The sequence below is a fragment of the Homo sapiens genome, chromosome 4 (assembly GCF_000001405.40).
Source record: "Homo sapiens chromosome 4, GRCh38.p14 Primary Assembly".
Classification (NCBI taxonomy): domain Eukaryota; kingdom Metazoa; phylum Chordata; class Mammalia; order Primates; family Hominidae; genus Homo; species Homo sapiens.
The window spans coordinates 103,423,251-103,440,559 of record NC_000004.12 but is presented as its reverse complement, the minus strand read 5'-3'; the positions used below and the strand labels follow the sequence as shown (position 1 = coordinate 103,440,559).

General features: G+C 36.2%; 1 long non-coding RNA gene across 1 annotated transcript, besides 1 other annotated feature; it reads right to left on the bottom strand.

Annotated features, from left to right (window-relative positions):
* Positions 1 to 831: 831 nt before the first annotated feature.
* LINC02428 (long intergenic non-protein coding RNA 2428) lies at positions 832 to 15,518 on the bottom strand. Its single transcript, NR_125925.1, has 4 exons — positions 15,375 to 15,518; positions 3,514 to 3,625; positions 1,797 to 1,853; positions 832 to 935 (listed from the first exon to the last, which is right to left on the bottom strand). It is a non-coding gene; the product is annotated as a long intergenic non-protein coding RNA 2428 (long non-coding RNA).
* Positions 15,289 to 15,790: an enhancer, noted in NCBI's record as "NANOG hESC enhancer chr4:104345927-104346428 (GRCh37/hg19 assembly coordinates)". NCBI's record gives its function as "activates a minimal SCP1, AML or CMV promoter by ChIP-STARR-seq in primed H9 embryonic stem cells {active_cell/tissue: H9 hESC(primed)}" and the evidence as "EXISTENCE:reporter gene assay evidence [ECO:0000049][PMID:30033119]".

Genomic DNA, 17,309 nt, shown 5'->3' with positions numbered 1-17,309 from the left:
ATATTTAAAACAAAGGATTCAGCAACTATTTACTAATTCCTAAATGACAGATTCAGCAGATATATAAATACATCCACAGCATTGGCCTCATCATCCTTTTTATCAGCATAGAATTTTGTCCAAATCCAGTTTCTTTCTACTATATGACACATTCATAGACCAACTTCATGAGCTCAGCAGTGAAGGCAAAACAATGTTGAATATGTCAGATGACTGCAAGGAAGCCACTCTGATGGGAGCAGCAGGGTTGAAGGCAGGATGGCAGAGTGATGCCAGATCACGGAGAACTTTTTACATCCAGGAAGCCCAGACTTGAGCAGCAAATGTAGTTTAATAAATAAGTGAATTCGGAAAGGGAAAGAGGATAGTGCACTCAACCAGAAAGATGGTTGTAGCTGTCCCACTTTGCCGTAATTGCAAAGTAGCAGTCCAACAGCTGACGCTGGACTTCCAACAGGGTTAATTTAAAATACAAGGTACTTTTAAAATTTTAAATCTTTGTCAACATTTAGAAATTAGAAATAAATATACCTAAATTTCTGCCTTCTTTCAAGATTCTGACCACTTGATAATATTGTCTATTGATTTCTTGTCATTCTGAAAAGACAACCAGCGTCTGTCTTTTACAAATTGGGGATAAACTAAATCTAGCGTCTCCATTCTGACAGGCGGCTCTCTAATCTCTCCTGCCTGGCACCTGAGGGCGTTTGAGTTTGTAATCTATGTTTAGAATCTATTAGATTTGCCTTAAATTTTAGAAGGAACAGCTTTGACACTGATATTTTAAAATCATTTAATTGGATCACCAAGGGAGAATTATTTGCGTTTGCTTATTATGATGATCAAAAGATAGCACAATAGGATTTTGAATGACTGCTATTTTCATTTCTTCAATAGAAAAATATTGCTTTTAAAACACTCAGAATAATGGTCACCTGTGGAGAAAGAGGAAAGGGAAAGGGATGAAAGATAAGTTTTAAGCTATATGTTATGATATTTATTATTACATTAAGTCAAGCATATGTGAGAGAATTTTATATCAATTTAATTTGCTGATTTGCTACACAAGAGACATTTTATTACATTTTTTACTTTAAAAAAGATTTCAAAATGTGATGGATGGATATACAGACAGATAGAGATAGGTAGATAGATAGAATTCTGAAAATGTATTTCTAAACTCCCTTAATATATTATCTCTCAGCGGAAAAATGATCAGCTGGAATTAGCGAAATCATTGTGTGTTTTCTCAACAATTACATGTTCAAATGCTTAGAAATGCTTTCAATTGATTTTTTTATTTTAAAGTGATTTTACTTGTATTTTATTTTTAACTGACAAAATAATTATATATATATTTATGGGGTACAATGTGATGTTTTGATACATGTACACAGTGTGGAATGATTAAATCACGGTAATTAACATATCCCATATTCAACACATACTTATTTTTTATGGTGAGAACATTTAAAATTTACTCTTTTAATAATTTGAAATACATAATACGTTATTATTAACTATGTAGTGACCATGCTGTGCAGATTACTATTGCATGCTGTGCAGTGGATCATCTAATATGATCCAGCAATCCCACTTCTTGGTATATATCTAAAGGAACTGAAATCAGTATGTTGAAGAGATATCTGCACTCCCATGGTCATTGCAGCTTTATTTACGAGGGTCAAGATACGGAATAAACCTGAGTGTCAATGGATGAATGGAAAAAGAAAACGTTATATATATTTTTATATATATATATATATGTATATATATAACCATATGATGTCACTTACATGTGGAATCTTAGTCAAACTCATAGAAGTAGAGAGTGGAATGGTGATTACTAGGGTCTGGGGAGGCAGGTGGGAAGAACAGAGAAAACGGAAATGATGATCAAAGAGCACAAAGTTAGTTTCACTTGATTTTTTACAATCTAAAAAAGAAGTATCATTTTATATTTATAGCAAGTTAGCAAATACATTTGGTTGTTTTGGGTTTTTGTTTTTTGTTTTTTTGAGACAGGTTCTCACTCTGTCATCCATGCTGGAGTGCAGCAGGGTGATGATGGCTCACTGCAGCCTCAAGCTCTCAGGCTCTGATCTCCCTCCCTGGCTCAAGCAATCCTCCCACCTCAGCCTCCTAGGTAGCTGGGACTACGGGCACGTGCCATCACACTGACTAATTTTTTTATCTTTTGTAGAGATGGGGGTCCCACTATGTTGCCCAGGCTAGTCTTGATCTCCTGGGCTCAAGCCATCCTCCTACCTCAGCCTCACAAAATGCTGGAATTACAGGCATGAGCCACTACGACTGGCCAAAAACATCTTATTTTTTTAAAATGTGCTTTCTCATACATAGCTGTGGAATTTTATTTTCTGGAATTCAAATATTTACAAAAACTATAGCTTCTTATATTTAGGAATTCATTCAAATACTACACAGTCTATTTTCTTTTTTTTTTAAATGTAAAATCTTCAGTAGCAGCAAACCCTCCGCTGCTTCTCTTAAGTTTGTCATCAAGGCCATGTTTCCTGACTTTTGATAGTCTAATATTATGTCCATCATGAATACTTTATTTCGGTCCATAGTTTAATGATTAAAACATTTTTAAATAACCAAAGTCCAATTTAAAGCTTACTTCAAATACTACTGGACTTACTTTTCTTAAGTTTAACTCTTATTCCAAATATTAAGAATAATTTTAAATAACTTACCATAGATATATATATCAAGAGAGAGATGTTTAATCTAAAACTCTGAACTCAGAGAACAACTAATTTCAGCTTTGGAATTCATCCTGATCAAAATATATCTTTTGAGGTCAATTTGCTATTCCAGACTAAGAGAAAAGGAACACAAAATAAAAACCATGAATTATCGTTTAAGCTATGAGGACCCCAGAAGAAAGTGAACATTCTCATATATATATATATATTCTCATATATACTCATATATATTCTCATATATATACTCATATATATACTCATATATATATACTCATATATCTATTATATATATATAATATATATTATATATATATAATAGATATTATATATATATAATATATATATTATATATATTATATATATATAATATATATATTATATATATATACACATGAGCTTTTACCAAGTAAAAATGCTCATATATATATATATATATGAGCTTTTACCAAGTATATAATGGGAAAAAGTACTGGACTTGAGTCCCAAGAGATAGACTTTAACCCTACCTCTCTCACTGACTGTGGGACCATAGTTATTGGATAGTTGCTGGATTACAGTCACTGAGTCACTGTACATCTGTTTCCTCATTGATTAAAACAAGCTCCTAACATCTACCTACATGTTCGGCATGTGCTAGACATTTACCAAATGTTTAGGGAATCTAAATCTATTCAAAAGGAAGCTACTTGTGAGACTCAAGGAAAACCATGTGAAGCCCAAGTCTGTAACAAACGTTCCCTAGTAAATAATCCACAAACCATGGGAAAAGATAGTAAAGACTTACCATAAATTTTCCCAATATCCAGAGTCAGTCTCCTCATTTCAATTAATAAGTAGCATCAAGTTAATAGGAAAAGTTGTTTGGTTTTTAATTAAACACCAATAAGCAAAACAATCTGTGGAGGTAAAAAATTATAACACATTTAAATTTTCATATTCCTTGTTATGGTGAAAAGCATACCCCCTCCAAAAATAATTATCACATAGATCTATTTTAGAAAAGATACTGAGAAGCAATATAGAAAAATTTTAAGCACAATATTTCAAGTCAGAATTATGCAGGAAGCCTGAACAATTTTGTAAAATATTTTACAAGGAAATGTAGGGCAATATCAATAACAGGAGAGACATACAATTAACTAGGGAGGAAAAAAGGAGAGAGGGTGAAATTTAGGAAAATAGACCTAACATCTAAAACCCCAAGAGCTATAATATGGTAAACAAAGACAAGTATGCTGATGCTATAAGATGGCATCTTTCTAAAATATTGAAATGTAACTTAGGATATAATTAATTCATTCATACATTTATTCATTCAACAAATAGTTCTTGATTGCTTAATATAGTTCAGGCATTATTCTAGACACTTGGGACACAGGGATATGGGAATTGTCTTGGGCAGTGAGTATTAAAATTGGCGGCCGGGCGCAGTGGCTCACGCCTGTAATCCCAGCACTTTCGGAGGCCGAGGCGGGTGGATCACGAAGTCAGGAGATCGAGACCATCCTGGCTAACACGGTGAAACCCTGTCTCTACTAAAAAATACAAAAATTAGCCGGGCGCGGTGGCGGGAGCCTGTAGTCCCAGCGACTCGAGTGGCTGAGGCAGGAGAATGGCGTGAACCCGGGAGGCGGAGCTTGCAGTGAGCCGAGATCACGCCACTGCACTCCAGCCTGGGCGAAAGAGCGAGATTCTGTCTCGAAAAAAAAATAAAAATAAAAAAATAAAATAAAATTGGCATCAATCCTAGGGAGAGAGACTGGGAAATCAGGAACTTATGAACTTGAAGCTAAAGGTAGCAGCATCTTCAAAGCCAAATTACTAAGAGCTCTAGTATCCTCTGTATTCCTCAGTATGGTTGTGTTCTGGGATATTCCAAGTGACATTTACCTACATTTGAACATATTTTAAAGTAGAAACAGACCTCCTTGTAGTTAGTAAAGTGATAGAATTAGTGAGTAATCAATGAGAAATCCCAAGAGAAGGTAAGTCATAGATTCAGGTTCTATGCTTCATGGTCCAGCTATCAGGACTCCACATCCCCACTTCTATACCCTGTCAAACACATTCTTCTTCCCAGTCCATTTCCTTCAGACATGCTATCCTTTGATTATACAAAGAATTGATTTCTACAATTGTTTATTTTGTAGAAAATAAATTATCTTCTGTTTTTCTGTCTTAATTTTTAACTAGTTAACTCTTTAATATTTCTCCTTGAATATAAAACCAATCAAATTGCTTTAACTTTTACAGCCCTCTGAGGGGAACCACAGAGTTTTGAGAGCCCACAATTCCTGACCTACAATAAACTTATCTATTTATCACTGACTCATGTATTTCCCAGAATTTCATGAAGCCTTCTTGAAGCAATCAATAAATAACTAATTCATATTAGTTCTATCTCCTGTTTCTTGGAAGTATCCTACATTTGTTTCTATCCCCTTCTGATTATTTCTGTTTTCCTGCTAGTTTTTTTTTCCATCTGCTCTAAGAATATCTTTCTTGTAACCATTTTTTAAAAGAATTATAAAAAGAGGGTGCTGAAAATGAAATCTTGGCATTAGATTTCATTCTCAGCACACTTCTTTTTATAATTTACACATCCACACACTATCATAATATGATAGCCTCAACAAACCTCTACATGCTGATGACTTCCCATTTTTTAAGAAAATATACAAGATGAGTCTAGAGCATCTTGGGGTACCAGAAAGTAAAGGAAGGGACATGTGAAAAAGACAAAGAAGCTATTCTGAAAGAACATCCAGTGGCTAAAGCTAAACCAATTATAGCAGTAAAATAATGTAATATAAAATATTATGTTGCAAAGTATAAAATATTTTATCCATGTGTCCATGTTCATACATATAAATGATTAAATAAATAAGGAAAATACAGTTCAATTGGGATATTTAGAGCAAAAACAGATCCCTGGGTGTCCCCTAATGATTGGAATTGGATCAGTGGTATGAAAGTCTACTGTCTATTACCGACAACTGGTCAGGGCCTTGGCAAACTAATGGATTCTAAAACTTTCAGGATTGTCTCTGACATCACCCCGGGTCCATTTTCCCTATCTATTTGTCCTCTAGGATAAATAGATCGGTACATAATTTAACTCAAGAAGAAGAAAACCCAGCCCTGATTCAAGAACTAAAATGCAAACTATGCTACAATTCTGGATTTCTTCTCTCCTCTGGCTTCTTTATGTTGTTTTACAAGAGACCTGAAAAGTAGGGAGAATCCTATCTGCCATCGTTGAGATATTCTCATCTCATTCTCAATGATAGATGAAATGCTGCTAAAGCCAGAGAACTCCACAACCAAAAGGCTCGTGAAATTGGACATTGGTCGCTTGGGATAGAGCTGAATTAGAGATAATACTGGACTCCTGAGGAGCACTGGGTGCTGTTTTAGGGCAAGGACTTTGGACTTTGAACATCCTTGCAAGCCTCTCTGAGATTCTTTAAATATTACTAAGAATATCTGGGAAGTAAACAAAGAACAATAACTTCCTTGTTTATAAATATGTGAAAAAAGAGGACTTCTCACCTTTGGTGAGCTGCCTTGAGTATGCCTAATACTTCACTTGACAATTTCTGAATTAGAAGCCTCTATTCCCAAGTGCTTAGTAATTAGATACAAAATTGATGAAGGAATCAGTATGTAAAAAAATTGCATATGTTACCATTTACTGTCAAAATGGTTATTACCTTCATTTCCCCAGACTATTATAAACACTGAAGAGAATTTTCAGCCCAAAATATGTATTGTTTAAAATCTGAGCTCAGCTTTACAATTGAATTCTAAAGCTGAACTTATGAAGCTTGAACCCACCAACTATAAGAAATTTTGGTTGACTTTCCATAGAAGCAGCTGAGGAAATGGTCTCAGTGATTAACCCACTCTGCTTTAAAATTGGCTGACTTGGCTGATAAAATGGGATCTTCAAAAGATGTCTGGTTTAGAAGTCACATATCATTTAATTATGGCATATGACTTTACACCCTGTGTCTGGTAGCAGCAAATCAACTGATTTGCTGCCATAAACAACAATGCAATGGCAATAAAACCTCAAATTACCTGGATGATTTACTAGTTAGACTAAAAGCTTTTAACAGTCATGGCCTAATGTGCTAACCACTCTACACATCAGCTACTAATTGTAAAAAGGAAAATTGTGTCTGTGAGTTAAGAAAAGCCACTGTAATTAAGCAATGTATAGTTTCGGTAGAGGAAAAATTAAAAGATACATTCTAGGATGACTTCTGTAATTTACCCGATCCCAAGAATCACCTAGGACCCTTATTTAAGATAGAGATTCACTTAGAAAATCTCCTGACAGGCTGGTTGGGTTGGGACCAGGATATTTTTAGCAAGTGTGCCAGGTGATTTTATTATGAAAAAAGTTTGAAAAATACTTCTCGAGTATACTGTCTATTTTTCTATTAATTTCTCAAATTGCTAATTTTTAATTTCTCTACCTCTTCATGTTGCTCACACTACCCTGGTTCACTAGGCTGAACACCTAGGGCCTCCACTTTAGTTTATGCCTGAAGCTCCTGGCATTTTGAAAGACCAAAATAACCTCCAAACTAATAATCCTCTCTCTAGGCTCTCATGCAGATGCCAGACTAATCTTCCAAAAATACTTCTATAATTATGTTAATCCCTTGATAAAGAAAATATTTAAGAATACAGCCAGTAAGAGTGCAGGCTTTGGGGTAGATTTCCTGGGTTTGAATCTTAGTTTCACCGTTGACTTACTAGTACTGCAAGGATGGCAAGATATTTAACCTCTGAGTTCTGCTGTCTTCACCTATAAAATGCAGATAGCAGTGGTGCACAACCCTTAAAACTGTACTGCTGATTACATGAAATAATCTATGAGTATTGCCCCAGGTTCTGACACAGACTAAGTAGTCAATAAATATAAGCTATTATTATTATGTACGGATAACAATAGCTTGCTCTTTTTCTTATTCCTTATATGTGATTCCCTAGTCAGTCAGAGGTATCTACTTTGCCTTCATGAAATCAGAATTATGAAGCAGGAATAAAAATTAAAAGAAACTGCTAGTGATCAATTATTGTTCTCGTTGCTATTTATTTGACTTAAAATAGACTCCTGGCCGGGCGCGGTGGCTCACGCCTGTAATCCCAGCACTTTGGGAGGCCGAGGCGGGCGGATCAAGAGGTTAGGAGATCGAGACCATCCTGGCTAACACGGTGAAACCCCGTCTCTACTAAAAATACAAAAACTTAGCCGGGCGTGGTGGTGGGCGCCTGTAGTCCCAGCTACTCAGGAGGCTGAGGCAGGAGAATGGCGTGAACCCAGGAGGCGGAGCTTGCAGTGAGCCCAGATAGCGCCACTGCACTCCAGCCTGGGCGACAGAGTGAGACTCCGTCTCAAAAAAACAAGAAACAAAAATAGACTCTTGCCCAGGCACAGTGTCTCACGTCTGTTATCCCAGCACTTTGGGAGGCCAAGGCAGGAGGATCCCTTGTGCCCAGGAGTTTTAGGCCAGCCCTGGCAACACAGACTCCATCTCTACAAAAATTAAAAATAAAATTATAATTATAAAACAGATTCTTGAACCCATGTAAAAAACAAAAACAATGTTTTCAATGTGCAGGAACCAAGATTATTGAGGAAAGAAAAGACTCCTGAGAATCAGAAAGTAAGATCTTGAAAGAATGAGAGCACAGAGTCCAATGTCATAAAAACAGATTTTTAAAAGACTAGAGGGGGACAGGCACGGTGGCTCACGCCTGTAATCCCAGCACTTTGGGAGGCTGAGGTGGGTGGATCACGAGGTCAGGAAATCGAGACCATCCTGGCTAACATGGTGAAACCCTATCTCTACTAAAAATACAAAAAATGAGCCGGGCGTGGTGGCGGGCGCCTGTAGTCCCAGCTACTCGGGAGGCTGAGGCAGGAGAATGGCGTGAACCCGGGAGGCGGAGCTTGCAGTGAGCCAAGATCGCGCCGTTGCACTCTGGCCTGGGGCACAGAGCCAGACCCCGTCTCAAAAAAAAAAAAAAAGACTAGAGGGAAACCCCGACTCTCCTACTCAGGCAAGAATATGTGAGAATCAACTGGACTCAGGAGAAAGGAGAATTCAATGGAATAGGAATTTGTAGGATATCTGTGGAGCTTGAATGAGATGCCAAAGACAAGACGTGGGGACTCCAGGGAGGGGAGGGGAGTCACATCTAGAGCCTGCTGAGCATTGTCAGATCAGCAATAGGGTTAGGCAGGAGGGAGCCAGGCAAGCCGACTGTCCATCCATCCCTGTGATAAGTAGCCCTGCTAGCTGTGCCTTTGTAGCTGCCTGGTGGGAGCCTTCTAGCAGCAAAAGTCTGTCTGTCTCCCACAGAACTGTTGGTGGAAACATCTTCCCACAGCTAGGAATTTGCTGCGCTTCATCCAAACTCTATGTAGACTAACATTTTTCAACAGTCTATAACTTTCATAAGCTTTCCAAAACAAAAGGTTGAGTCCTCAGAAAAGGGGTAGAATAGAAAAGAAATGCTAAACAATTATGCTTGAGCTAACAATAGTAAAACCTACACTAATTACATTTTATTATTACAACAATTGTTTATTGCCTCTTATGCCCTGTCTAGCCCAAGACCTCCATAATCAGGACTCTAGGGTCAACTATATTTCCCTCTCCTCTCTCAGCGTAAGTCATCCAACCAAATCCAATCATTCTCTTAATGTCTATATACCACACTAATGCCCACTGATGTCTCTGATTTTGCTTACATGATTTCTGCTATTGCTTCTTTGTCTATTCAAAACCTACTCATTTTCATTGTCCAGCTTAAATCCAATTTTCTCCACAAATTTTCTAGAACCAGCCCAATCAACTCACCCATCTCAAAGCCACTATTATTTAAGCCCTTAAGTATATATTGCCTTGTATCAGTCCCTCTTTGTATCTTTGTATTTTGTGCATTTTTCTCACCTCTTCAAATAGGTTAGAGATTCATAGTTGTTAAAGACTTACTTTTCCTGTGTATGACACACAATGCAATTCCAAATTTTGAGTCATATTGTAGGTGCCAAATAAATATCTGATCATTAATTGAGAAGATGTTCTAAACATTGTAGGTTCATAAACCACGTGAAATATTTATTTACCTGTATACTAGCTATACGTTTCAAAACTGATGCATAAAATTATATCAACAGACTTTTGATGAGAACTAAAAGGTACAAATGCTAAATTTTATGAAGGAAAGAAAGAATCTGTAAATCCAATATATTTCTGTGTTTTGTATCACAATGTGTTACCTATGTTTTTCACTTTTCTTTCCATAGGGAAAAATCAGCAGAGGTGTTTAAAAAGAAGCTAAAAGAATTTTCTGACCTACAAAACTCCCTATTAGCCTCTCTATTATTCTAACCCATCCTTTATTCTATTCTTGGTACCACAGAGTCTTAACATACTAAACTTTTCATAAAATATTATGAAAATTAACATAAAAATACTAATAAAATAAGATTTAGTAATATATGCTACCAATGTGTTTTCCAGGGTTAATATCTGATTCCATTTATATATTAGACATACCTTTGTGGGTAAGTCAATGACCAGGGAAATAAAGGAGATCTTAATCCAGTTCTTCTTTCACAGGTTTTATTTTTATTTTCCTACTTCTGAACAAAGATAAACTTTTCTAGAATTCCTCTGCAAACTCCATCTCATTTTCCCTTCTTCATGTCCTCTACCCCAAATACGAAGAGGAAAATGAATGTGGTAGTTATAATTGTGCTTGCTCTGTGTTGCGGATTTGATTCCAGGGTTCCCATTCCCACCTGTCCTGGTTGTCCAGGCTTACCTAATTCTAATGGTAAGATTGTTGCCATTGGTCAGGAGTATGGAATATTTTAGTAACGTCAATCTCTTTAAATGTACCCAAATCAAGCCAACTACATATAGTTTTTCCAAGGAAAATCAGGCAAGCTTATGTAATCTGTTAATATGTGTTGTAATGTCAGAATACCTCACAAGAAGGTAGACTTTCAATGATAGAGAACTTTGTTTCAACTGTGCTTTGACCATAGTAGTGTCAAAATACAAACACACACACTGTGGCAGCCATGGAGATGTGCTACTCATATCTGTCTTCAAGAAAAAACTTCTTTTTCAGCTTCAAGAAATGCAGTTACTGACAGCTCCCAGCTGTTATTGCCTTCAGTGTCTACCTCGGCTTTCCAGCAGAGGCCACGCTCTTCCCCCACACCCCCCAGCCAATGACTGAGTGTGCTGCAGGTACCAGGACCTAGTCATTTCTGCCAACTGTCAGACTCCCAGCAGGCCTCTTTGATCTGGAGCCCCCTGTTGGTTTGTCGGATACTGACTCGCATCTGCATCGCAGACTGAGGCTCTTCCTGCCCCATCTCGCTCCCCTTCCTCCGGTTTCCTTTTCAGGTGTAAAATTGGCTTCCTCCTCCCTTTGTCTTTCATGGGCATTACCTCCAATAAACTTCTTGGACTGCTAATTGTCTCTCAGCATCTTCTCCTTCAGAGGACCCCAACTGGTGCACACACCAGTATTTTACATTTTACCTTGTAATACTTGAGTTAAAAATAAGTGTGTATAGTATTTATTTTTACACACACACATTTACACATAATCTCATGTACAGCATGAAGCAAATTGAGTATTCTTCAGTTTTTAGGGCAATCTAACTCATCTCAAACTTTATGTAAGTTGCTCCTAAATTTATGACTCTTTTGTTAGGAAAGAAATTATGTCACCTCAACAGAAACTGGATCACAGTGTTCAGATCTGGATAAAGGAAGCACAATAAGCAAACACCTTGCGTTACACAGAAGAAGGTCTGCAGAGTGTTATTTCTTGTAATCACTAGCTATTTTTAGAAGGTTTTTGTTGTTGTGTTTTTGTTTTCATTTTTGTAGGTAAATACAATGCAGTAGATTTTCCTTAGGTTCGTAATAAAATATATATATATATATATTTATTCCCACAGGTCCCTACTGGGAAAATTATACTTTTTGCTCTGAGTCATAGCCATTGTTATTATGAGAAAACTGAAATATACAATATTAAGACAGTTCTGTTCTTTATAAATAGCAATTATTAAAAATGACATGGGAGAATTATGCACTGAACAGAGATCTTGATTAGAAATAGCTATTTTAAATAGAGTGATCAAACTAGATATTTTAAATAGGATGATCAGGGTAGGTGATGAGGAGAAATGTAGTCAAATGAATGTTGTCCTTCAAAGCAGTCATTTTGGGAAAATATAAGTCATTCTGATGAAGCAATTTTTGATGATATAGTTTTGCATGTCACTTTGGGAATTATCACTCAGTTTACAAAATGTTCAAGACAACAAGTAACATTACTATATATTCTCACATTTTTTAAAAAATTCTCAAATATCTGCTATTCTCAAATATCTATTATCATAACAGTTTTTTTGGAGTAGCTCCTAAGTATTTTCAAAAATGAAATACTCCTTCAAAGGGTAAAGATATGCCACATTGGAAGACATGTTTAAAATACACAGTTTCCAAAACAAATCTTAGAAGAGGAATTTCAGAAGTTTCAAACAATGGCAAAATCACTTAAATGAGCTAATAGTTCCCAATTATAAAATTTGAAGGGACGACCTGTATGGATTTTTCCTCTGCTAAAATGTAATCTTCTTAACTCTTAGTGATGAACCATTTATCTTCAGACTCCACTCAAAATATTTAGAGTGCAATTTTTCCAAAATACTGTTATTCAGAAGATACCTAAGCCCTTGAATTTATAAACAACAGTCTATGAACCTGTGCCAAATTTTGTCCTTTCTTAGAAGTAACATTTTTTTAAGATTCCCTCTATCACTGGGCTAACACAGGATTAGATTGTCAAAACAGACTAACATGAATCAGAGGCTTTAACTAGTACCTCAATCTACTAAGTAATTTCAAATAAAAGGATCAGACAAGCAGGGAAAGGACTGGGATGTCAAGAGTAGCTCCCGAAGCCCTTCTTTGCTGGGTCTGGAATACCCTTCTTGTTAAGAAGGGATGAGGTCTCTAATGGAGGCTCAGAGGATTTCATAGCTTAAGAGACATTCTCCAAGCATGAAGCTCATCATCCTAGTTTTGTTTGCCACAGGTAATGCTTAGCCTGACATAATACTGAGGGCATTTTAGAGATAAGACTTTTCCTTCTACCAAATATCATCAATCTTTTTTCCCTAGAGTCTAGTCCATGAAAAGAAGCTCCCTTAACTCCTTCTTCCTGATTACTTAGCATAATGTTAAGGGAGGGAAGAAAAAAAAAATAAAAGAAAACTCTTGAAATACAATCTTCCCATGGTGTTACCAGATCTTGAGGTATGTGATGGTAAAAAAAAAAATAAAATAAAATAAAATTGATACATATCAGTTAACCAAAGATGGCAGGGAGAAACTCTGTGATTACCGTGGTCTGGTAACTAAAAATCACTGTCTGAGTATCTGAGTACATAAACCAATAATTTGTTAATAATCTATGATAGACTGTGGTTCATAAACAAAAATGTCAGCATAATATGTCTGGATGTCAACATGTGTCAATAAAAGCTTTTATAGCAACGTCTATTCTTATAGCCATACTGGATATTAATAAGAAATAGGAAGTTATTTATCTCATTGAAATCTTGTGAAATTTCTTGCAATGACTTTCAAGTTCCCATAAGATCTATTCAGACAACACCCAAAATTGTTCTTTCTCTGACTTTATTTCACTTATTCTATTCTGGCCACATGTACCTCAAGCCTCTTGCACTGCCTGCTTCCCTCCACATAAACTGCTCTTCCTCTGAACATGTGCACAGACATTCCCTCAGGCATTTTTCAGATGAAATTTTCTCAATGGACCTAATCTTATCATGTTTCTTAAAATAGTAACCCATTCCCATTCTCAATTTCACTTAACTCTGCTTTACTTTTTTGTGCATTGTACTTAATACCTTCTACTATATCTTAAAATTAACTCACTCATTTTATTTTTTGCCTCCATCAATAAAAGGTAAGTTCCAAAGGGACAAAGGTTGTTGTCAGTTTTATGTATTTTTATATATATATAAATTTATGTATTATATTACATATTATATTTTTATATATTATATATATAAATACATATATATATATCAGACACTTGAGACAGTTTCTGGCAATAATAGGTGCTCAATAAATACTTCTTGAATGAATGAATATGTCTAAAGACAACAATAATGCAATAAACACAGAGATTAAAAAAGGAAGCACTGAAGAATTTTGAATCTAGTTGAGCAGATATAAGAATATGAAATGTTCAGTAATTAACTAAATTTAAAATCATATAGAAGAGAGTTTAGAAGTCAAGGGTTCAATGCATTCATCTCAATCTATTTGTGATAAAATAAGGCCGCTTAGAATGAAAAGTAATAGGTAAGCCATGTGAGTGTTTTGGCTTGGTTCTAAATCCAAGCTCTACCACTTATTATCTAGGTGAACTTGATGAATCCCTTCGATTTATCTTATCCTTGGCTAATTTACCTATAAAATAGGACAATAATGCCTGTTTTACAGGTTTCTTGGGGCTGCTCAGATGAGATAGTTCATATAAAGTATTGATCCTATCAAATGATTTAATAAAATGGTGACATTATTAAGATTTTTGGAGAGAAATACAGAGGGAAAAGATCTCACTATCAAAAAATATATAGCCTTTTTAAATGCAACAAGGAGGGTCACACATTTTATAGTATGACTTATTTATAAAGAGTTGTAACTCCTTTATTTTGTTCATAAATAATCTCTCCACAAAATAGAAACTCAACTACATTTGTAGTTTAAATTTAGTCCCACACCATAAATTAAAAGGCCATGCAATTTCTATTAACATTTTTATTAATACAAATATTTCATATCCCATATAGCCACCATATTTTCTGTTTCTCTCTCTAACATTGAGGGATATAAAGGGAAAAATGTATGGCTTACATATCCTTGGGTCACAAACAAGCAAGGATATCCCTTATTTCATGCAGACACTCTTGGGGCAATGTCCTTTTTAATCTGGTCACTGCAGCTCTAATGGCTTCTGATAACCCAGGCTCCCCTTGGAATCCTCATGGTTGGTTCTTGGCTTGTGCTCTCATCATAGACCACTGACCCTTGAGTGTTTACCATCTACTCCATCCAGCCTCCTAGCCTGGAATTTTCCACCTGCCTCTGCTAAGGGGTCACCTAAACTCACCAGAAGCTTCCTGATACAAAGCCAGCTGACATAACACACAGAGAGTTAACTGGGTACTCACTCTATCAGACTGTACCACTGTCCTCTAAAGTGAGTTTGTTATACCTTCTTCGTACAAAGTAAGTTAACCATATACACTATATCAGTTTGTCTAAAAAATGCTGGGTTTTATGATCTGGCCCAGTATGATTTCTTTTACTCTCAAAAATATTGCATTCTGGACAGCATACTGGATTGTCACCCAATAAATGGGTAAGCAGTAAAAAGGTCCTTCTCTTGCCATCCCACTTATTTATCTAAAATACCTGTGCCCGGCACCACCCCTTGAAAGACAAAAGCACAGAGAAGGAAATTAAGATGCAAAAACTGGACTGTTTAACTTGCCTCCCTGAGGTCCTCCTCTTCTCCCCTCCCTCTTCCAGACTCCAATCTCCTGCTGAGGTTTTATGACAAACGAAAGTATTTCTTCCACATTTCAGAAGACATCTATGAGCTAAGTCCTTCAGGCTGGATTGCTGGTATAATAATGAAGTAGGTAAACAAATGTTGCTTAATTCCTTCTGTAAACAATAGACTTGCAAAGTCTGTACTATTGCATAATCCTGTTTTTGCATGTGAAAAGCTAACATTTGGCTGTGTGCCTTGCTTTGCCAGGGCTTACTCTGCCCACTGGGTCATATTCCAGGGGCTAAGACTATAATACCTGCGTTACCCACCTTAAAGAGTTCCCTTTTATTAATTTCCTCTTAATGACCTTTTCAATCTTAGATCAATCCAACTGAGATCTCTTTCAAAAAGATTAACTTCAATTACTTAAATCCCAAAGGCAAGAAAGAGTGCTCCCTACATTATAAAGTGAATATGTATTAATGGAAAGATGAAACCAGAACTGAATAGGAGTAAAATTATAAAGAAAGCAACAGTTTGTCTCCAGATTGCTTACACATTTCTGGTCAGCATCTTCCTCAACACTGAGGCATGTTCATTTCCAAATGTCCTTCCTACCATTCCTCAGACAGGTTATTCTTTTTCTTAAGCCATGTATTTTGTTCTTGAAAAATATTCTTGGGTGCCATTTTATCTTTTACTAATATCTGCTCCCCCAAAAAGAAATAACTGGGGAAAATCTAACAAAATAACACAGTCTATGTACAGTATACTAAAAGACCAAGAGAAATATATAATTTTAATAAAAGACAACATAGGGATTTTAGAAATTTATTTTTAAAAATCTGGTTTCTTAGAAAATTGGTTTTGCAAATATAGTCCACTTGAATAATCTTTCTCTAAGAGGCAGAAATCCAGGGGCCTTGGGCATTTCTGTAAAAAGATTTTATCTGCACAACACCTTCACAAATCACACAAACATAACACACACATACACATACACAAAGTTACATAATTACATATCTTTATGCACAAAAAAGTGAGCTGAGTTCTGTGTGTTCTATGTGCCAAGCATTGTGATTACATACATTGATAGATCTAGATATGAGTCAAAACAATAAGAAATTAATAATAATTATTAACATTTTCCAACCACTTAACATGCTTAGCATGGTCATGATATACTTTTATGAGGTGATGTCATTGCATTTTTATAACAAATCTGTGGGATAGGTACCACTGCTATTTATACTTGATGAATGAGGATAAAAAGACTGACAGAAGTTAAATAACTTGCTCAGGATCACACAGCTAATAAGTAGGCCAGCCAGGATTTAAACCCAGACTTTCTGCTTCCAGAACCTGCACTCCCCACCACTAACCTATACTGCTTACCAGAAAGGGAAAAGGAATAAGAAGCAGTCAGTCTAGGAGACAAATATCATGTGCAGGGCTAGAATGCACAGCAGGTAACACACAACCAAGATTCTGAAAGAACTTTCAGGTGAAGAAGCAAGCCTAACATAGCAGTGAAGCTACCCTTCCAGTAGTTCAGCTCTCAGCTCTCCTGTTCTTAAAGAGTCCAAGTCCTGGGTCATTGGTAATGAGAGAATATTGTGGCAGACATTGTCCTTTAGCCAACTCAGAAGTCATTTTGCAACTGCTACTTCCATTGCTGCCCACTTTAGAATTCAGAAAGCTGGATACTCACTTTCCCAGACTCACCGTAATGGGTAGCCATGTGACAGGGTTCTGACCTAAGGGCCACAAGTCGAAAAACAAATACCAGTTTAGAGTTTCCAGGAAAAAATTTATTTGTTGACAAAAAAAAAAAAAAAAAAAAGAAAAACAGAAAATGGCACATTTGCTAGCTCCCTCCAGCCTTAAACATGTGCATAAAGCCAGGAATTGCAGCAGCCACCTTAAGCCCAT